The sequence below is a fragment of the Homo sapiens genome, chromosome 3 (assembly GCF_000001405.40).
Source record: "Homo sapiens chromosome 3, GRCh38.p14 Primary Assembly".
Taxonomy (NCBI): Eukaryota; Metazoa; Chordata; class Mammalia; order Primates; family Hominidae; genus Homo; species Homo sapiens.
In genome coordinates, this window is record NC_000003.12 from 143658050 (window position 1) to 143681914 (window position 23865).

The 23865-nt window shown below is 39.0% G+C and overlaps 1 protein-coding gene across 5 annotated transcripts in view, besides 1 other annotated feature; it reads right to left on the minus strand.

Moving 5' to 3' along the window:
- The window catches only part of SLC9A9 (solute carrier family 9 member A9), a 583247-nt gene that overhangs the window by 392828 nt on the left and 166554 nt on the right, over positions 1-23865 (minus strand). The gene's annotated exons all lie outside the window — the stretch shown is intronic.
- Positions 11369-11418: an enhancer, noted in NCBI's record as "active region_20657". NCBI's record gives its function as "activates an Ori minimal core promoter by ATAC-STARR-seq in GM12878 lymphoblastoid cells {active_cell/tissue: GM12878}" and the evidence as "EXISTENCE:reporter gene assay evidence [ECO:0000049][PMID:35858748]".

Sequence of the window (23865 nt, forward strand, 5' to 3'; positions counted from 1 at the left end):
AGAGATGGAGTTTCACCATCTTGGCCAGACTGGTCTTGAACTCCTGACCTCAAGGGATCTGCCCGCCTTGGCCTCCCAAAGTGCTGGGATTACAGCATGAGCCACTGTGCCTGGCCTCTAATATGTAAATATTGATAGATACACCTCACATAAGCAAAAACTCTTTGGAGTCTTTCCTAATTGCAAAAGGTTTTGATACCAAAAATCTTGAGAACCACTGCCCTAAGGCATTTGTTATATGTAATGAATTAACTTATTTCCTCTCTGTTGAGAATCATACTAGCTAAGCACATCCTTGAGAGAAATGAGAAAATATTCCCTCCAGTCATCTTCGGTAGAGCTTAATTCTCTTGTTGAGAAGGGCTCCTGAGATCTTAGTATCTTTTGCCATGCAATAACCAGCTGATTCTTTTGGTATACATGTAGGGGATTTCTAATAACTTTTAAATGAGGAAAATTATTCTTTTTACATTAACTCCACTGTCACATTTCTAGAGTCATATTTCTGTTGCTGATATTTATATTTGTTTAAGCCCTTTTTTTTGAAATGTAAGGCTTTGTGGGCAGAGATTTATTATGGGTGCATGATAAAAACACTGACAATCCCACCTCCATCCCTTTGACTTCAAACATGGCTGAGTGGTGTTTGAGAATAATCAATTGCCTTTTTTTGATTAAAAACCAGAAATACAATCCCTAGCAGTCACTGAGAGTAGAAAAAGGTAACCAGAAGGTCATGCAGTTTGGATTAAGAAAAGTAGGATATATTAAGACTGGAAAGGGAGAAACTGGAAAATCAATCCAGGTGGGGAATGTTTTCCAGGTCTTGTATCTGGGAACTTATGGACTGAAATCTGCTGGCACTTTACCTAGTGCCTTAAAATCTTCCCCAAGGGTACCTACATCAGAGATATTCTAAATTTAACATTAGCAAAGAACATAAACATTTAACAAAGATTCAATTTTCTCACCAGTGAGGTTTAATGAGCCATGGTGCCGTTTAATGGGGAATCTGTGCAACATGCCCAGTATCTGAGTGACGATGACTCACCCCTTCATACAAGCATTTTCCAATTAGGATTTTCACTTCAGCATTTTTCCTTTTTAAAAATGAAAATGGTGGGCAAGGGTTTATCTACAAATCATGAAAAAACATTAAAAAAGGCCTGTGGAGTAAAAAAGCAGCAGCCATAGTTAGGATGGGTCACCAAAAAAAATCAAACACCAAAAAAAATCAACACTTAGAGGTAAAAATATCACTGTGACCCATGACATGTAAGAACTGTGAGGAAAGAGACATGTTTAAAAGACAACTGTGTTAGTCATGATCATGGTACACACAAAATAAGAGGGCTTCCCAAACAAATGTTTCTCTTGCTACAAAAAGATATGAAACAAGCAGATATCTTGTACCATCACTTTCCAATCAGTGGATCAGGACACAAAGGGACATTACAGAACTGTTTCAAAGTGGAAGATGAACATTCCTGCTCCTTAAATAGATTAGAAAGTTGCCAAGGGTAAACAAGAGTAATATTGAGAAGAGTCAACACTGGGCCTGTGTGAGATACAGGGAAGAAAAAAAGATGGAAAGAGAGGGGTCATATCATAAATCCCCTATCCCTGTCATCACCCTGTGTGGTAAGCTGAAGAATGCCTCATCCTTGGAGCATATGAATATGTTGCCTTGCATGCCAAAAGGAGTTTTGCAGGTGTAATTAACGTTATTGATATAGTTTGGGTGTATCCCCACCCAAATCTCATCTTGAATTTTAGCTCCCATAATTCCCACATGTCATGGAAGGGACCCTGTGGGAGGTAATTAAATCATGAGGAGCTGGTCTTTCCTGTGCTGTTCTTGTGATAGTGAGCAAGTCTCACGAGCTCTGAGGGATTCATAAAGGGAAGTTCCGGTACACAAGCTCTCTCTTGCCTGCCACCGTGTAAGACGTAACTTTGCTCTTCATTTGCCTTCCACCATGATTGTGAGGCCTTCCCAGCCATGTGGAGCTGTGAGTCAATTAAACCTCTTTCCTTTAAACATTAGCTGGTCTTGGTTATATCTTTATCAGCAGCGTGAGAACAGACTAATACAGTTATGGATCTTAAAATAGGCAGATCATGTTACATTATGTGGGCAGGTCCAACCTAATCACTGGAGCTCTTAAAAGCAGAAAAATTTATTAGGCTATAGTCAGAGAGATGTAGCTGAAGAGACATGAAAGAAAGGGAAAGTTGGGAAGATCCCAAGTGTGAGAAGGATCCAACACACTGTTCTTGGCTCTGAGATGTAGGGGATCACTTGCAAGAGCCAGAGAGAGAAAAACCTCTTGGAGCCAAGCATGACCTCAACTTTCAGCCCCAAGGAAACAGAGACCTTGGTCTTCTGATGGGAAGAAACTGCATTCTGTCAACAACCTGAACCTAGAGCTTTCTGATGAGAATCTTACCAGTCAGTAGGTTGATTTTCACCTTGTGAGACTCTGATCTAAGAACCCAATTGAACCAACCTGGACTTCTGACCTATGGAACTGTGAGACAATATGTTTGTGCTGTCTTAATCCGCTAAGTTTGCGGTAATTTCTCATAGCAGTTCTAGCAAACAAATACACTCTGCTCCCCTCTTACAATAAGAACGACAAAACAGTGGGCAGACCAAGCTCCCATACATTTGGTTTTTCAATATATGAGTTAATGAGTGGAGATGTGGCTAGAATGTCCTCTTAGCTATAGCACAGCTCTCCCTCCCCTTATCCCACCACTGACAGGAAAGAAGTAAGTCACTTAAACAAACCCATGTTTTAGATTATGCTTAACAAGGAAAAACCTGGACCAATGACGAGGCTGTAGATTTTCAAATATGTGTGCCTATGAGGTCCTCTGTTGCTGATGTAATTTTCCATGTGTGTCCCTCTTGGTGCCATTGTCACACACCACAGATCACTCATTTACTCAGAATGCACCATTTTATAGCTCATCAAATCACTTTATTTGAAAGTTTTTACCATATCTGGGCTACATTGTTGAGTGCAATCACGGTGAAGAATTGGTGATGAGATGGGAATGGTGAAGTCCAAACTAGGATGGAAGGTTAACAAACCAGGCAAGCCAAGTCTGAGGGGAGCAAGCCAAAAGTCATAAAGCAGCTCTCACCATAGAAGCAAACAATGGCCATTTTAATTTTCTTTTTGAGCTTTTTTGTATTTTCTAAAATTTCTACAATAAATGTGCACTATTTTTAGAATTAGAAAAGACAGCAACCTACTTATGAAACTGGTAAAACTTAACAAGAACATAAAGCATGGAACTCAGAGTCTCTTCCCCAAGGCCACGGATGCTGTCTGTGAGGACACAGCCTTCCTCAGGATTTCTCCCTGGGTTTCCACACTGCTCGACCCCACTGTGGCACCTGGCACTGTGAACCCTTCCTGTCTCTCCAAGTGCTCCCCTCCTTTGTTTTGAGGAGACTAGCCCCTTGTGATTTTCCTTCAACACCTCCAGATTTTCTTCACTCTCCTTTGTAAACCCATCCCTTTAATAGAGGTGTTGCCCAGGAAAACATCTCCAGTCCCCTTCTCACTCTGTAAACTTGACTTGAGTAATTTCATCAACATCTGGTGATGTCAATCTCTAGCCCATCCCTTCCTCTATTTTTAGTAGAGACAGGGTTTCCTTATGTTGGCCAGGCTGGTCTCGAACTCCTGACCTCAAATGATCCACCCACCTCAGCCTCCCAAAATGCTGGGATTACAGGTGTAAGCCACTGTGTCCGGCCTCCTCTTTCTCAGCTATAGACTCCCATATCCAACCATTGCCAAGACAACTCCTGTTGGAGTTGTTCTACTTGAAAAACTACTTATCGAGCACCTGCTGTGTATGTCTTACAGATTCCCTACCCACTAACTAGCCTCAGCAACTCTGCTGCTCTTGTTCTTGAATTACAATCTCAAGGAGTGGAACCATCACTGACCACAAACTTTATGTTTATATTTTTTAGTGGTGTGATTTATCTTAGTTACAATTGAAAAATCTCCAGCTTTAGAGAATATAATATTAAGAGGCAAGCCACATTTTGTAGTTCAGTGTCTTACAAGGTCAGGCAAGGAGAGAAAAAGAAACCAGTTTCAGAAATGTTCTATTGTACTAGATACTGCAGCATAAACTAGCGCTGTCATTTCTGAAATTTTAGCCCTACAGTAATCCCTTCTGGACTGAAAAATAATATACGAATGAAGAAGTTCAGTTGCAGATAAAATACGTATATGAAAGTAGCATTTTGAGATCGTTTCAAGATGGCCGAATAGGAATGGCTCCAGTCTACAGCTCCCAGCATGAGCGATGCAGAAGACAGGTGATTTCTGCATTTCCAACTGAGGTATTGGGTTCATCTCACTGGGACTTGTTGGACAGTGGGCGCAGCCCACAGAGTGTGAGCTGAAGCAGGGCGGGGCATCACCTCACCCGAGAAGTGCAAGGGGTCAGGGAATTCCCTTTCCTACCCAAGGGAAGCCATGAGACAGGGTACCTGGAAACTCAGGACACTCGTGCTCTAATACTGTGCTTTTCCAAAGGTCTTAGCAAACGGTACTCCAGGAGATTATATCCTATGCCTGTCTCGGTGGGTCCTACGCCCACGGAGCCTTGCTCACTGCTAGCACAGCAGTCCGAGATGAAATTGCGAGGTAGCAGCCAGGCTGGGGGAGGGGTGTCTGCCATTGCTGAGGCTTGACTAGGTAAACAAAGCAGCTGGGAAGCTCGAACTGGGTGAAGCCCACCACAGCTGAAGGAGGCCTGCATGCCTCTGTAGACTCCACCTCTGGGGGCAGGGCATAGCTGAACAAAAGTGAGCAGAAACTTCTGCAGACTTAAACGTCCCTGCCTGACAGTGGTTCTCCCAGCACAGAGTTTGAGATCTGAGAACTGAAAGACTGCCTCCTCAAGTGGGTCCCTGACCCCCAAGTAGCCTAACTGGGAGACACCTCCCAGTAGGGGCTGACTGACACCTCATACAGCCAGCTGCCCCTCTGAGACGAAGCTTCCAGAGGAAGGATCAGGTAGCAACTTTGGCTGTTCGGCAATATTTGCTGTTCTGCAGCCTCCTCTGGTGATACCCAGGCAAACAGGGTCTGCAGTGGACCTCCAGCAAACTCCAACAGACGTGCAGCTGAGGGTCCTGACTGTTAGAAGGAAAACTAGCAAACAGAAAGGAATAGCATCAACACCAACAAAAAGGACATCCACACAAAAACCCTATCTGTAGGTCCCCATCATCAAAGACCAAACATAGATAAAACCACAAAGATGGGGAGAAACAAGAGCAGAAAAGCTGAAATTTCTTAAAATCAGAGCACCTCTTCTCCTCCAAAGAATCGCAGCTTCTCGCCAACAACGGAACAAAGCTGGATGGAGAACGAATTCGACGAGTTGATAGAAGTAGGCTTCAGAAGATTGGTAATAACAAATTTCTCTGAGCTAAAGGTGGACGTTTGAACCCATCACGAAGAAGTTAAAAACCTTGAAAAAAGATTAGATGAATGGCTAACTAGAATAACCAGTGTAGAGAAGACCTTAAATGACCTGGTGGAGCTGCAAACCATGGCCCAAGAACTACGTGACGCATGCACAAGTTTCAGTAGCCGATTCCATCAAGTGGAAGAAAGGGTATCAGTGATGGAAGATCAAATTAATGACATGAAGTGAGAAGAGAAGTTTAGAGAAAAAAGAGTAAAAAGAAATGAACAAAGCCTCCAAGAAATACGGGAAACTCATATGGGATTATGTGAAAAGACTAAATCTACGTTTGATTGGTGTACCTGAAAGTGATGGGGAGAATGGAACCAACTTGGAAAACACTCTGCAGGATATTATCCAGGAGAACTTCCCCAGTCTAGCAAGGCAGGCCAACATTCAAATTCAGGAAATACAGAGAACGCCACAAAGATACTCCTTGAGAAGACCAACCCCGAGACACGTAATTGTCAGATTCACCAAGGTTGAAATGAAGGAAAAAATGTTAAGGGCAGCCAGAGAGAAAGGTCAGGTTGCCCACAAAGGGAATCCCAACAGACTAACAGCGGATCTCTCTGCAGAAACTCTACAAGCCAGAATAGAGTGGGGGCCAATATTCAACATTCTTAAAGAAAAGAATTTTCAACCCAGAATCTCATATCCAGCCACACCAAGCTTCATAAGTGAAGGAGAAATAAAATCCTTTCCAGACAAGCAAATGCTGAGAGGTTTTGTCACCACCAAGCCTGCCTTGCAAAACTCCTAAAGGAAGCAGTAAACATGGAAAGGAACAACCGGTACCAGCCACTGCAAAAACATGCCAAATTGTAAAGACCATCGATGCTAGGAAGAAACTGCATCAACTAATGGGCAAAATAACCAGCTAACATCATACTGACAGGACCAAATTCACACATAACAATATTAACCTGAAATGTAAATGGGCTAAATGCTCCAATTAAAAGACACAGACTGGCAAATTGGATAAAGAGTCAAGACCCATCAGTGTGCTGTATTCAGGAGACCCATCTCATGTGCAGAGACACACATAGGCTCAAAATAAAGGGATGGAGGAAGATCTACCAAGCAAATGGAAAACAAAACAAAACAAAGCAGGGGTTGCAATCCTAGTCTCTGATAAAACAGACTTTAAACCAACAAAGATCAAAAGAGACAAAGAAGGCCATTATGTAATTGTAAAGGGATCAATTCAAGAAGAAGAGCTAACTATCCTAAACATATATGCACCCAATACAGGGGCACCCAGCTTCATAAAGCAAGTCCTTAGAGACATACAAAGAGACTTAGACTCCCACACAATAATAATGGGAGACTTTAATACCCCACTGTTAACATTAGACAGATGAACAAGACAGAAAGTTAACAAGGATATCCAGGACTTGAACTCAGCTCTGCACCAAGTGGACCTAATAGACATCTACAGAACTCTCCACCCCAAATCAACAGAATATACATTCTTCTCAGCACCACATCACACTTATTCCAAAATTGACCACATAGGTGGAAGTAAAGCACTCCTCAGCAAATGTAAAAGAACAGAAATTATAACAAACTGTTTCTTAGACCATAGTGCAATCAAATTAGAACTCAGGATTAAGAAACTCACTCAAAACCGCTCAACTACATGGAAACTAAACAATCTGCTCCTGAATGACTATGGGGTAAATAAAGAAATGAAGGCAGAAATAAAGATGTTCTTTGAAATGAATGAGAACAAAGACACAACATACCAGAATCTCTGGGACACATTTAAAGCAGTGTGTAGAAGGAAATTTATAGCACTAAATGCCCACAAGAGAAAGCAGGAAAGATCTAAAATTGACACCCTAACATCACAATTAAAAGAACTAGAGAAGCAAGAGCAAGCATACTCAAAAGCTAGCAGAAGGCAATAAATAAAATCAGAGCAGAACTGAAGGAGATAGAGACACAAAAAACCCTTCAAAAAATCAATGAATCCAGGAGCTAGTTTTTTTTGAAAAGATCAACAAAATTGATAGATCACTAGCAAGACTAATAAAGAAGAAAAGAGAAGAATCAAATAGACACAATAAAAAATGATAAAGGGGATATCACCACCAATCCCACAGAAATACAAACTACCATCAGACAATACTATAAATACTTCTGTGCAAATAAACTAGAAAATTTAGAAGAAATGGATAAATTCCTGGACACATACACTCTCTCAAGACTAAACCAGGAAGAAGTTGAATCCATGAATAGACCAATAACAGGCTCTAAAATTGAGGCAATAATTAATAGCCTACCAACCAAAAAAGTCCGGGACCAGATGGATTCACAGACGAATTCTACCAGAGGTACAAAGAGGAGCTGGCACCATTCCTTCTGAAACTATTGCAATCAATAGAAAAAGACGGAATCCTTCCTAACTCATTTTATGAGGCCAGCATCATCCTGATACTGAAGCTTGGCAGAGACACGACTACAAAAAAAGAGACTTTTAGACCAATATCCCTGATGAACATTGATGCAAAAATCCTCAATGAAATACTGTCAAACTGAATCCAGCAGCACATCAAAAAGCTTATCCACCACGATCAAGTCAGCTTCATCCCTGGGATGCAAGGCTGGTCCAACATATGCAAAGCAATAAATGTAATCCATCATATAAACAGAACCAAAGACAAAAACCACATGATTATCTCAATAGATGCAGAAAAAGCCTTTGAAAAAATTCAACAGCCCTTCATGCTAAAAACTCTCAATAAACTAGGTATTGATGGGACATATCTCAAAATAATAAGAGCTATGTATGACAAACCCACAGCCAATATCATACTGAATCGGCAAAAACTGGAAGCATTCCCTCTGAAAACTGACACAAGACAGGGATGCCCTCTCTCACCACTCCTATTCAACATAGTGTTGGACGTTCTGGCAAAGGCAATCAGACAGGAGAAAGAAATAAAGGGTATTCAATTAGGAAAAGAGGAAATCAAATTGTCCCTGTTTGCAGATGACATGATTGTATATTTAGAAAACCCCATAGTCTCAGCATAAAATCTCCTTAAGCTGATAAGCAACTTCAGCAAAGTCTCAGGATACAAAATCAATGTGCAAAAATCACAAGCATTCTTATACACCAGTAACAGACAGAGAGCCAAAGCATGAGTGAACTCCCATTCACAACTGCTTCAAAGACAATAAAATACCTAGGAATCCAACTTACAAGGGATGTGAAGGACCTCTTCAAGGAGAAATACAAAACACTGCTCAACAAAATAAAAGAGGACACAAACAAATGGAAGAACATTCCATGCTCACGAATAGGAATCATCAATATCATGAAAATGGCCATACTGCCCAAGGTAATTTACAGATTCAATGCCATCCCCATCAAGCTACCAATGACTTTCTTCACAGAATTGGAAAAAACTACTTTAAAGTTCATATGGAACCAAAAAAGAGCCTGCATTGCCAAGACAATCCTAAGCCAAAAGAACAAAGCTGGAGGCATCATGCTACCTGACTTCAAACTATACTGCAAGGCTACAGTAACTAAAACAGCATGGTACTGGTACCAAAACAGAGATATAGACCAATGGAACAGAACAGAGCCCTCAGAAATAATACCACACATCTACAACCATCTGATCTTTGACAAACCTGACCAAAAAAGAAATGGGGAAAGGATTCCCTATTTAATAAAAGGTGCTGGGAAAACTGGCTAGCCATATGTAGAAAGCTGAAACTGGATCCCTTCCTTACACCTTATACAAAAATTAATTCAAGATGGATTAAAGACTTAAATGTTAGACTTAAAACCATAAAAACCCTCGAAGAAAACCTAGGCAATACCATTCAGGACATAGGCATGGGCAAGGACTTCATGTCTAAAACACCAAAAGCAATGGCAACAAAAGCCAAAATTGACAAATGGGATCTAATTAAACTAAAGAGCTTTTGCACAGCAAAAGAAACTACCATCAGAGTGAGCAGGCAACCTACAGAATGGGAGAAAATTTTTGCAATCTACCCATCTGACAAAGGGCTAATATCCAGAATCTACAAAGAACTTAAACAAATTTACAAGAAAAAAATCAAACAACCCCATGAAAAAGTGGGTGAATGATATGAACAGACACTTCTCAAAAGAAGACATTTATGCAGCCAAAAGACACATGAAAAAATGTTCATCATCACTGGCCATCAGAGAAATGTAAATCAAAACCACAATGAGAGAACATCTCATGCCAGTTATTATGGCGATCATTAAAAAGTCAGCAAACAACAGATGCCGGAGAGGATGTGGAGAAATAGGAACACTCTTACACTGTTGGTGGGAGTGTAAACTAGTTCAACCATTGTGGAAGACAATGTAGCGATTCCTCAAGGATCTAGAACCAGAAATACCATTTGACCCAGCAATCCCATTACTGGGTATATACCCAAAGGATTATAAATCATGCTGCCATAAAGACACATGCACACGTATGTTTATTGTGGCACTATTCACAATCGCAGACTTGGAACCAACCCAAATGTCCATCAATGATAGACTAGATTAAGGAAATGTGGCACATATACACCATGGAATTCTATGGAGCCATAAAAAAGGATGAGTTCATGTCCTTTGTAGGGACATGGATGAAGCTGGAAACCATCATTCTCAGCAAACTATCACAAGGACAGAAAACCAAACACCGCATGCTCTCACTCGTAGGTGGGAACTAAACAATGAGAACACTTGGACACAGGGTGGGGAACATCACACCCTGGGGCCTGTCGTGGGGTGGGGGGAGGGGGGAGGGATAGCATTAGGAGATATACCTAATGTAAATGACGAGTTAATGGGTGCAGCACACCAACATGGCGCATGTATACATATTTAACAATCCTGCACGTTGTGCACATGTACTGGAACTTAAAGTATAATAACAAAAAAAGTAAAAATAAAAAAAGAAAGTAGCATTTTAAAAAACCACCTCCCAATAAATAGCCTATAAACACTTTCACTTCCTTTTTTGAATAGAACTTTTTGGCTAAAAAGTTGATTATCACTGGTATTAGTTTGTTCATCTGCGCATTTGTCAATGCTTTTGATAGTTTCTGGAAAGCAATAGGCAATTAATTCTGTTTACTGAATAAATGAATTAACAAGTGAATGAATCTCTGAAGGTCACCCACCATGTGGTTAGCTCCTCGAGGATCAGAACAGCTCCTTTTCTCCTGTATTCTGCCCTCGTAATCAGGAACTTCTTTGCCCACTCACTGACCTGACAGAACTTGTTTCAAAAAGCTTTCTCCATTTCAGTGCAAAATAATAAATTGAACAACACAATTCCTTGTCTGTAGCACCCAGACAAAAGGTCAATTCTTGTCCTTTCTTGGCCGCTTTTCAAGAAATCCTGCCCAAGAGGCACCTGTGAGTCTTTATGGAACAAGAGGACCAAATCCCAGTCTGAGACTAGTGGCTGCTCTCCCATCCTAGGTACCTTTCTCTTAAGAAAGCACTCCCTTTTAGGGTTGTACAACTGCTGATCCTGCATTTACATAATCCAGAGAGTGAGTGCCTTCTTAAATTTTACTCCCTAGTTGCCTCACTCTTCCATGGTTTTGACCTCATCAACTTGGCTGAGTCCTAAAAAGAACCAGACAGCAAGGAAATACTCTCTAAGAATTACTGAATCCAATTTGTCTCAATGTACAATGTCTTCTTTAACACATAAATGGAATGTGTGGGCTGGACACTGACTTTCAAAACTTCCATCCTATACGTCTTTGAGCATTACTGAGAATAAACTGCTTTCATTTAAACGGAGACATTCTGTTCCCCAAAGCAGTGAGCCAGAGAGGTCTGTCAACCACAGCTGTTTCCCAGCTGTCCATGGAGCTGTTGAACTGCTTCAAACGGTTTTCAGTATGTTCTCGAAATTTCATCTTCAGAACACCTGGAGCCTTGCTTGATCCACTTTCAACATCCTGAAGCATTTATATAGTTGGTTGTTATCTATTATTGTGTCCAATTCTGTTCTGGAGGTGACTTTCCATAACTAGCTTCCAACTTCTGAAGCAAGACCTTTGTGCCAAGACCTTGCTATTTACAACTCTGTACTAAAGTAGAAAACAGTGGTTGGAAACTTGACTGTGATGTCAAACCAACCTGTGTTCTGATCAGACCCCAGCTGTTATGCAAATGAACTTGGTGATCTTGAGCAGGCTACTTAACCTCATTAAGCTTCAAGTAAGCTTCCTTGGTAAAATGGGGATAAAATAATCCCTTCTTCAGGTTTTTGGAGAATAATTAATTGGAGTTATTTATGCAAAATGTTTGGCATATTGTAAGTGCTTCATCAGTGGTGGTTACTGTATTGTTATTGTTCATGCCATCAAAACTATTAGTGGGTCAGTCCAGTATAAAATGGAATGACAGTTTCTACTTGTTTTCCTTTAACACTTAAAAATAACTTCAAATGAGAAAAAGTAGATATTATCAAGCAGAGAAATGTTAAAAACTCTTCTCTATCTCTCTTCCTTTCTCACAAATTACTCCCTTGAACTTCTGTATTTGGAAAGAACAGTTCCTATTCTGTGTCCATTTACTTTGTCTTTCTGAGTCTTAGGGTCTTCATCTAAAAATGAGGATGTTGAGCAAGATTGTCTTTAAGGGCCTTCCACATCTAAATTTCTATGGGTCTCACTCCAAACTCCAAACTGTAGTCTCCAGATGTGGAATGTGTATATTTTCCAAATCATGCGGATGGAGCCCTGATGCAGTGCTGGGATCAAGGGTGTGCTTTGCAGGGTTACAGAGCAGCATGTGCAATGGGCAGAACAATGTCAAGAAAAGTGATCATGAGTTTAACACTTCTCTGCATGAATGAGGGGAGGGCTGTCATAATTTCAAATGCATATGCCCTTGTTTTGACTGTGACTCTAAGGGTTACCAAGACAGGACACTCCAAAGAGTATCTGAGCCCAGGGAGACCTTGCTAATGTTCTGCAGGTGACGTCGTCTGTGGCCCTGGAGAGAAACATGGCTCATGGTTCTTCCAGCTGAGCTGTTATCTTCTTCATCTGGGCAAAATATTGGCTTGAGGTACAGGAGACCTTAAGCTTTCTCAGAGCCTTCTCCCCACCAGGTGGTACTCTGTGTTTACAAAGCTGCCTGGATTACCTCTGTCTTGTCTTTTAGACTACTGCCAGTTGTCGTATCTACCTCCCTCTTTAGACTGGGAGCATGCTGAGAGCAGAACCTGTGTCTGGTTTATTATCCCTTCCCTCAGTAGCTCCTACAGTGCCTATGACATAGCAGGCAATGAACAAATGTTTGTTAAATAAAATCAATTATAAAGTGGGAACTTGACTCTTGACTCTTGGATTTCATTTTCTTCCAAAGCTTGATTGGCACATCACTGTTCTATTTTGAGAAACAGCAATGGTGTAGGACAAAGAATATTGGACCTGATTTGTCTCCCATCTCTGCCACTTACGAGCCTTGTAAATGTACCACTTAAGTTTTTAGAACCTCTGTTGCTTGGAATGGAGATAATTGATCGGCTGTGGTGATGATCAAATTAGATGATATATTTGTACACATTTAGTTAATGGCTGCTATCACTAGATAACATACTCTCTAGTAGACGTATTCAGATGGAGCTTTTAATTTGCTGCCAATCCGTGGCTTTGGGTTGCTTCTACATATTGATTCAAGTACAGCCATTGCTTCAATAATTTTAAGCTGGCTGCAAGTTAGCAAAAGTCAGTTTTTTTTTCAGATAGATGTTAGTGTTTAGTATCTAGCAAAAACACAGTCTAGAAATCTAAGGAAACAGAATTCCTAGCTTCCATACCTATATTTCATTAACTTGCCGTGAAACCTTGAGATAATCTTAAAATTTGCTGCACCTCAATTATTTCACCTAAGAAATGGGTCTTCTCTACCCAAGAACACAATGTGAAAATAACTGAAATACTGTCTGTAGAAGCTCTTTGAGCTCTTTGAAAGAGTCAAACAATATAAATCAAAGCTGTTATTTTTATTTCTGAGTAAATTTGCTCAAGAATAGAATTGAGGTTTATATGATGGAGTTTTACAGACATAGGTTTATGTAGAGGGTTTTAAACTGATGCTATTCCATTGTGCTTAACACTGAATTGTAAAGACACAGAAAATACAGCCAAGTACTGTTAAATGACACTGTGTGCAGGTTTGAAATGCAGATTGCATAGTAAAAATGGCTGATACGTCTGTGCTCTCTAGAAGCCTGCTGGCTTCAGTGGGAGGTACTCTGGTCTAACATCCTCTGACTCCCTCTGAGGTGTAATTTCTCCCCCCTTGGAATTCAATGAAAACATATGAATATCTCTTACTGCTTCTGTTCTCTCACAGCAATACCAATGCAATCTTTCTCTACCAAATATTAGATGCTAAAAGTAGAGTCATCCAACTTTCTTTATAGATGACAGAGCAAATAATTCAGGAACACAAACTTTATACTATATGAGAGCATTTTTTGCTGTTTATAATATGGCATAAAACCATCTTGATCTCTTCCTGCTTAGCCGATATTAAATGAATGTTGTCTTTGTTCTCTAAGCCAGCCCTGGTACTGAAGGAACTACTTTGTCAATTACATCTTAAATTTTTTTTTTGTCTGTGAATAGAAAATTATTCCGTTTTCTCTTGAATTCTTGTGTAGAATATTGATAACACCAGTGATGAGAAACCACAAGTGTAATATAGGCTAAAACTAAATGCAGAGGCAGAGAGGGCCAGAAGGTGAAAAAGAACAATATCCATGATTTTAAAAAGATGTGATCCAAACAAAAGAAATCAATGAAGAACACAATTAAATATTGAAACACAACAGTGATTAGAGAGCATGATCAGAGAAACTGAAGGAAAACAAAACTGAAAAATAAAAACTTTTCTGATTATGCCAATGTGAGTAATCTTTCTCCGGTGTTAGAAAAATTAAATATTTAAACCTGGAGTTCCACGATGAATGAAAAATATGAGAGACAGCCCAATTAAGTCATCCTTACTGAAGAGGCTTTTCTCCAAAAATAACAGTCCTGCTTTTAATTATAGGTTCTTGGGTCTGTTAATCAGCCATCTTCCTCAAGGCTAAGCTTGGTGCAAATAACAGAGAAGGATTCAGCAAAATGCCCTGTTTAATTAAAATGAATTTAATTAAAAATATTTTTATACACATGACCAATCACCATTATTTATGCAGATGTTCCCACATAAGTCTTTGAAAAGGCATTTCTCCCCCCAACCTTTAAAAAATATGCTGTGCTTCTACAAGAACTGCTATGAAATGAAAAGCACTATGACTGGTAGTTAATACCTATTTTTATCAAAACAGCAGTGCAGCTCACACATCACCTGAGCAGCCGTAACCATAGTAACCCCAAATAGAAAGGGGCTTCAGATTATCAACACCATCAAAGGTAAGATAGTTCATGTGCCTCTGCAATAGTTACACTACAGCAAACTTTAAAGGATAAAGGTGGCTTTTATTCCTACTACTTAAATGTTAAATGAAAATAATGACTTGCAAGTACAGTGTATAGAAATGCCTTTCATTTTGGAAGACTCTTATTTCCTCAAAGTGTTAATAATAGAAAAGATGAAAACTCAATGCTATACATTTCTCCAGTGCTTCTATCTGATTATGGCGAGGGGACAGTAATCATCATTTTGCCAAGTTGGAGAATTCATACAGGGAAAACCCCACCCATAGGAGCCCTGCAGGATGAGAAGCTGGACGAGAAGGCATATTCTGTGTCCATGCACTCAGTGAGAGGATGGCTATGGTTAGTGATGATTGTCGACACGAATTACCTGCAATAAGGTATAGATGGTGACTTAGGGTGTAGACTGGCAGTCAAATCACAAAGAAAATGCACATTTAATTAGAGAAGGAGTGGAACTGGTTTGAAATATCAGTGAAATACCAATCCAAATACAAATCTGTATTTGGCTTTATAATTTATGGTTGGGGTAGGATGGAGTAGGGAAGGGTGGGAGGGCAGGGCATAAAAGGCCAGCAAGACCATACTTATTAATTATATTGTTAATTAATAATATTAATAATATTGATTATTCTATCAGAGGAACTATGATCTAGATAATCCAAAACAGAGACTAGTAGAAAAGACTTTCTGACAACATTTCCTAATGTTCAATATGTCTAGGGGGGCAGCATCTGGAAACATGGAGAAAATATTCTAAATTTTAAATATTTAAGTGTATAGTAGCTATTACAAAAAGCAGAAATTCCACATGAGGATAAATATAATTTTATTAATTTTTTCTTTTTAGTCTCTTTACATTTGAGATTTACCGTGGAAGTGGATGGACAAGTAATGAAAACATAAGAAAACAAATTCTTTAATTATGGTCATGTAGGAAGAAAATGGTATCTGGAAATTTTATGTTCAGGAATAAATAGGAATATCATGATAGTGTTATCTAAAAATCCAATAAAGTGCCTGAGAAGAATTCACTGCTAATAAAAATGTGTTTTAAAACACTTAGCAATTTACACATAATTTTCCATACAGCTCTTCATTTGATCTGACAAAAATTCTTTGAAGAAATGGAAGGTACTTTCTGTTTTGTTTTGTTTTGATAGTCTCTATTTTAAGGAAGTGGAAAGTGAGGTTCCAATAAGTTAAAGCATTAAACTGTGATGCTCCATTCACCCATGACACTAATCTTGCCTTAATGAACTGACACTTTTGATATCCAGGACGCTCTGACCACCAATCCCAACCTCATTTTTAGGAAATTTTTCTACCCTTATTACGTGCTTATTTTATTTTTAGTGGAAGGCTCCTCTTGGGATTAGTTTATGAGACATCCCTAACTGTGATCCTTTTATGCAGGCAATTTCACAGGGCCTCTCTTAGATGCTTTCACCCATAAACACACGAGCAGTGCCAGCGCCCTGGTTCACACTTCCCCTTGAAACCGGTGCGCCCCAGAATTAGAGCGACACCTAGCCGTGATTTTAGGTAGTACATGCTAGGAAAGCTTATTTGGGCAAGGGAGACAAACAAGAGACATCAGAGCTGGTGGCATCTCAAGAGGATACTACTCCCAGAGGTAGAAATCTCAGAGGTTTTCTAACAGCACTTTCTACTGGGAACTAGGACTCCTGCAGTTCACATTCTCTGAGGAGGAACTATATGATAAGGGAAGTTTATTATAATTATAATAAAAGGTAAGATGTGCACCCTTGAAATTACATACAGGTTCTACCAGTGCAATAAATGATATCTATTTCAGATTAAAAATATCAGTTCCAAGCCTCCTTCATCTCAATAATTCTTGACATTTACTCAGAAAAGCAAATATTTCATTCAGTTTTTATATTCATCGGGGCTGTGGACTAGTGCTACTAGCATCAACGAGACACTTGTTAGAAATGGGGTGTTGGACTTGACCCTGGACCTACGGAATCAGAATTTCAGGAGGCAGAACCCCCTAATTAGTACTTTCAGACTCTCCAAGTGAGTTTTACGTTCACTCACATTGGAGAACCTACTAATATAGAGCAAGAAGTAATCTTAAAAATCATCTAATTCCTCTAGGAATATATTAGGCAAATAAGGCCTAGAAAGCTTAAGTGGCCACCTTGAATTTTCCCTGCACATCAGAAATATGCCTTGTGCATAGTAACAGGGATTGAACTAGACCTGAGGTCTCCTAACTCCCAATAATAAAAATAGCATAGTGCTATGACACTTGTCAAGTGCAGGCTGGTTGGGCAAAACATTAGCTAAACAGAGACTTTGACTTTGTATCTATATTCCTCCTGGCTTCTAATTTCAGTAAATGAATTATCATCCATGCATTTAATTTAGGCACCAGACAGGATAATCCACAGTAAATTTTCTAAATTCAATTAACATGAGCCAGTAGTAGTCTCCTTATGAAAGCCAACAACGAGGGCTCAGGGCTTCATCAAGCACTTGGGATTCTTAGCACACTTTAGCTACTGGAGCAAGCAGAGATGTGTGACTTACATGTAATATGAGAAGTCATTGATTTTCATTTCTTTTTTCACTTCACGGCAGACACAATATCATACTGAGTTTGAAGATTTTCCTTTAAGATTTTCTCATTATACTTCAGAGTGATTTACTAATATCATATAAAAATGATTGGTTATTTTCTCATTTTTATGAAATTTTGAAGTTTTCAAGTGTACAGATGTGTTTCCACATAAATCCATAAATATGATCATAATATGCATACTCTTTGTTTAGTCGTTTGCTTTAATAGTCTTTTTTCTTTTCCTTTTTGGTATGTCTCTCTTTTTTCCACCTCTTCCTCTCTTAAACTCATATCTCCTCTCTCCCCAAGTAACCCAATTTTACAACGCAGTACAGAGGTCCTCAATGTTTTTGGCACCAGGGACAGGTTTCTCGTGGGGGATGGGGAGGAGGGCGAGGTGGGGATGGTTTCGGAATGAAACTTCCACCTCAGCTCATCAGGCATTAGATTCTCATGAGGAGCACACAACCTAGATCCCTCGCATGCGCAGTTCACAATAGGGTTCACACTTCTATGACAATCTAATGCTGCCGCTGATCTGACAGGAGGTAAAGCCCAGGTGGTTATGCTGGCTGGCCTGCCACTCACCTCCTGCTGTGCAGCTTGGTTCCTAACAAGCCACAGACCTGTACCCGTCTGTGGCCCGGGAGGCTGGGGACACCTGACCTAGTATATGTCCTACCAATTTCTCTTTATACTAAAATTCTCATTATAACAATTACACACACACTTGTAACAATGTTAAATTAGATGTTTAAAATGAGAAACAAAGCAAAAACAAACAAACAAACAAAACAAACAAAAACACATGTTATGTAGTGAGATGTACAATCTTAAAAGCAGCTGGGTGTGGTGGCTCATGCCTGTAATCCCAGTAATTTGGGAGGCTGAGGAGGGCGGATCATGAGGTCAGGAGAGCGACACCATCCTGCTCAACATGGTGAAACCCTGTCCCTACCAAAAATACAAAAATTAGCTGGGCGTGGCGGCGTGTGTCTGTAGTTACAGCTACTCGGGAGGCTGAGGCAGGAGAATCGCTTGAACCCAGGAGGCGGAAGTTGCAGTGAGCCGAGATCACGCCACTGCACTCCAGCCTGGGGACAGAGTGAGACTCCTTCTCAAACAAACAAACAAACAAAAACAAACAAAACAAAACAAAAAAACCCAGCACGTGTCTGAAAACCAGTTACATGACTCCATTGAACCTCTCTGCCATTTAAGAATGTGAAAGATCCTAGACTAGAGGTTAAGATCTGTGAAGGGAGTTCTTTTACTACTTGTGAGTTGTAAATCTGAACTCCCACATGGGGAGGGTTGTTTGCACATCTCAAGCCTGTAAAAAGAGACTTCCCTAGACCATCAGACAGCTTAAGATGACACACATGGAGTTTGGGGACACAGTGGATTACTGTTTGACTCTCGCTTTGCCATTATTACATGGGACTGCACATGTTCATTGCTGAGTTGAGTCTGTGATTACAACTCACAAACCAAATATTTTTATCCAGCAAGTCGGAAAGTAGTAGTCCCACACAATATTTTAAGGGGAGACTGGAAGAAAAAAAAGCACTTTCTGTGCCTATACCTCACAAGTCCCACTTTTCAATATAAAAGTTACACACAGATATGCATGGGGGTTATCTACACATAAATTTATAGGGGTCACCACTGCTTTTAAAAATGTGAATCATATTTTTATATACATTTTTGCATTTACTTTAATAGTCAACAATGCCTGCTGGAAAACTCTCAAGTTAACTGGAAGGGCACTAATTTATTTTTTTAATAGACATACAATATTGTGTAGATGTCCTACAATCTATCATCTTAAAAATGTTGCAGTACACATTCTTGTTCATATATCCTTAAGAACTGGTGGTTTTACTTGTGTGAGATAGCCTCCCAGGAGTCAGATTGCTGGGTCAAAAGGGGCTGTATATTTTAAGGTATAATAGCTTTGCCAAATTACTTTCCAGAAGTCTGTTAATGATTTAAATGTTCTCTAGAAATGTGTAAAAGTCCACTCTTTCCTGCAACCCTGCCAGCAATGACTGTTACTTGGTATTATAATTGTTGCCAAACTGTTAGGGGTAAAATGATATGCTGTTACTTTAATTTACATTTCCATGACTTCTTGGAAGTTTGAATAACTTTTTACATTTGTGGAACAAGTGGATTTGTGTGTCTATGAATTGCCTCTTCAGAGTCTTTTTTTTTTTTTTTTTTTTTGAGACAGAGTCTCGCTCTGTCGCCCAGGCTGGAGTGCAGTGGCACAATCTCGGCTCACTGCAAGCTCTGCCCCCCTGGTTCGTGTCATTCTCATGCCTCAGCTTCCCAAGTAGCTGGGACTACAGGCGCCTGCCACCATGCCCAGCTAATGTTTTGTATTTTTAGTAGAGACGGGGTTTCACCGTGTTAGCCAGGATGGTCTGGATCTCCTGACCTCGTGATCCACCCGCCTCAGCCTCCCAAAGTGCTGGGATTACAGGCATGAGCCACCGCGCCCAGCCTGCCTCTTCATAGTCTTTGTCAGTGTTTCCGTTACTTACTTCCAGATTGTCATTTTAAAGTGTTCTTTGTGTATTAAAAATAGTAATATTCTGTCCTTCGTATTTTAATAATTTTTCCCCAGTGTGTTGCCTATCTATTGACTGTTTATGGTGTCTTTTCCACTTAAATGTATTTTCTTTTTATATCTTCAAATATATCTATATTTATGGATTCTGGTTTTCCATTCTTTGTTAAGAAGAGTCTCTATATCCTTAATCTATAGATATAGATTTATAGATTTTCTTGCAGTAGTTTTTTAAAATTTCATTATTTACATTTTAATTCTTCTAAATATATTTTTGTAAATGGTTATATGTGTTCAATTTTATAATCTAAATGGATAGCCAGTGAATTGTGCTAGTACCATTTGTTAAATAAACCATCATTTCCCCATTGAATTGAAAGACCACCTCTGTCAGATTATCATTTTTCAATGAAATCTGTGTCTGGATCATCTATTATTTTTTACTGGTCTTGTGCTTCCTAGGCCAATACCACACTGATTTGATTATAATGGCATTGTAGTATATTCTTACATCTGATTAGGTAGGTTACCTCATGGTTTTATTCCACTTTATAAGCTTTAAGATAATTTTATCCAGTTTCAATGTTTAAAGTGGTAAGTTTTCATTGAAATTACCTTAAATTTTTGTATGAATTGGAGGAAAGTAGAATTTTCATGAAAGCTTTCTTCTCATCACCAAGATGGTGAACTATAATAGCATCGGCTACTGCTTTCCTCCACAAAGTCAATGATGAAGAAAGTATATAGAGAAAAGTGGAATTGAAACTAATAACAACAAAAGCCATGAGAAATCCCCAGGGAGAAGGAGCACTGTTTTGGATTGATGTGTGTGGGAAAGAGGTGAGAGGGGTGGGAAAGAGGTGAGGGGGGTGGGAAGAGTGCAGCAAATCTGGCAATGGGCGGCTACACACAGCAGTAAAAAAAAGCAAATTAGGAAAACAAACAAACAAACAAACAAAAACTGTTTAAGCTCTGCCATTTGGCTTACTTGCATTTCCATGGAGTAATCATTGCTTAGCTCCTTGCCACACAAAGCATGCACAACTGGCTAAACACTGGGGCAGGTGTTCATGGGGGAAATGTCAGGATCAGTGCAAAAGGTTTTGTGAGGTAAGGAGTTGATAAGAACAGGTAGAGACTGAGCAGCCTTAGGCATTCTCTTTCCCTACAAATCCTAGGCTGATGGATTATCAATGTTGCTTCTCCCTTAGGGCCTAAACCCCAACCTGAGAAGTTGGCTAGGCAGGGTTTCTCAACCTTGGCACTATTGATATTTTAGACCAGACAATTACCTGCAGTTGGGGGCCGTCTAGTGCGTTTTCAAAGTTTAGCAGCATCCCTGCCCTCTACCCGTCCAATGCCAGTAGTGCATTCCCCCAGCTGTAACTAGCAAAAAATGTCTCCACAGTTAATGTGTTCTGAGGCTTAACATCACTACCCTGGGTTAGTGGGATGACGGCAAATGAAAATGATAACTGTAGTTTTGAGGCCCTTCTCCAATACGTATTGCCAATTCAATAGTTGATACTCCTAAAGGAACATGAGCAAAAGTGAAAAATAGCTAGACACCTGAGGGTTATGACAACTTAGAGAAAATCAACAAACAAAAAACGGAAGTATTAGAATAGATACATAAAACATTTTCAATAAGTATACTAAATACACTTAAAGAGACAGAAGAAAATTAAATAAAAGGAAATATCAGGTATGAAAAACATAGCAGAAAAAAATTATAACAGATGGAATAAATAGGATAATGGATACAACTGAAGAAATAATTTAGATAATGGGAAACCTGATTGAGGAACTCCTCCAGCAGGAAGCAAGACAGATTGAAGAGATAAAAGTACAATTTTAAAATGTTAGGAGACATGAGAGATAAAAATAGAGGTGCAACATATAGATAATACGAGTACCACTAGATTAAAATAAAAATGAAGAGAAATAAATATTTGAGAGAATAAAAAAGAAAATAACTTTGAATCTATACTTTTATGTCTAAACAAATTGCTATTGAATATGAGGGTATAATTAAAATTTTTCAGGCATACAAGGCTTTGGAAAGAATGTCACACATAAACTGACATTAAAAACATTTTTGAATGATGTATTCAAATAGAATGAAAAATTTAGAAACTGCTGGAAGGTTTATGAAAAGTAACAGGGATTATATAGTTTGCTAAAGTTTTTCATTGTTTAAAAAGTACTCCATGAAAAAAATCTAGGAGGAAGAAAAAGATAAAGTATGTCCATAATTAAATCTTCCCATTCTAGAGCATGACTTTTCATTTGTTCATATCTTGTTTTACATTTTATATCCCTTAAAATATTATACCTTTATTCTTTATTAAAATTAGTATCAAATAGTTGTAAGTTTTATAGATATTGAATTTTATTTCTAGAAACTTGCTGCTAAATTTTTTAAATGCTATTGGATTTTGTATATTTATCTTATACTCGGGCACCTCACAAAATTTCGTTTTTAATTCTAATAGTTTTTTAGAATAGAGTAACATCAACAAAAATGGCAGCTTTATTTCCTAATTTCTACTTTTATGTGATGTTTTATTTTCTTTCATTTTCTTACCGAATTTGCTAGAACTTCTATGCCAGTATCTTCTATTTTTCCCTTTACACATTCTCTGCTTTGGGACACTGACCACGTGAACTACATCAATAAGTTCCCATGCCCTCTAGCTTCTCATTGGATTTGGCCAATGAGAAGCCCCAGAAGATATCAGAGGAGGGGCAGAAAGGAAGACTTAGGTATTTATTCCCTGACATTTTCCCCCTGAAATGCTACCTTGAACTAAAAGTGTCCCTGAACAGGTTATCGCTCTCCACCAGGTGACATATTCCACAAGCTTTCTCCCACTGAATTCTAATGACCACTCTCTCCTCTTGTTGCTTTGAACCTAAGAGTGATAACTGTTTGGCTACTCCCAAGCTCCAGATGCCTGCACTATTCTTTGTAGTTCTTCTACAAATAAACTTTGCAACAAGTCCTCTATAAATAAAACCTTCTTGAATTATCCAGTTTCAAGTTTTCATTTAGAATAATATTTGGTATTAGATTTTGGTAAATACTTTGAATTATATTTAAACAGTTTTTTTTTACTTAGAATTTTTATTAGTAACGCTGCCGCATATTATTAAATGTCTTTTCCTCACAGATATGATTATATATTTTATTCTCTTATAATGTATCGATGTAACAGGTTATGTTAATGGGTTCCATGATATTGTACCACTCTCACTTTCATGGTATATTCTGCCTAACTAGCATTATTATTCTTTTGATGGATTTATTTATCTGACAAATATTTACTGATAGTCTCCTCTGAGACAGCTTATATTCTAGGCATTGGGAATATATTGTTGAACAGAATTTCTGACCATGTGCAACTAACGTTGCTGAGTTCTTTTTATAAGATTTCTTATAAGGTTGTTCAAATTATATTCTGACTATTTCAGGAATTTATTTCCTGGGTGTGTGCTCTGTTTATTCTGACCAGTCTTCCTCCCTCAGGCTGCTGAAAAGTCTTGATGTGCTTTTATCTTTCTTTGTCAGCTTTTTGGAGTTTAAGACTGTTTGTTGGACTACCTTCTGTGATAGCAGTCCTCTGAGTGGCAGAAGATAGGCCAGTGATGGAGAAGCAGGTGGGCTACCCTTCAGGTACCTGGAGGAGATAGGTCCCTTACCCAGTAACCAAAGAATCAAATT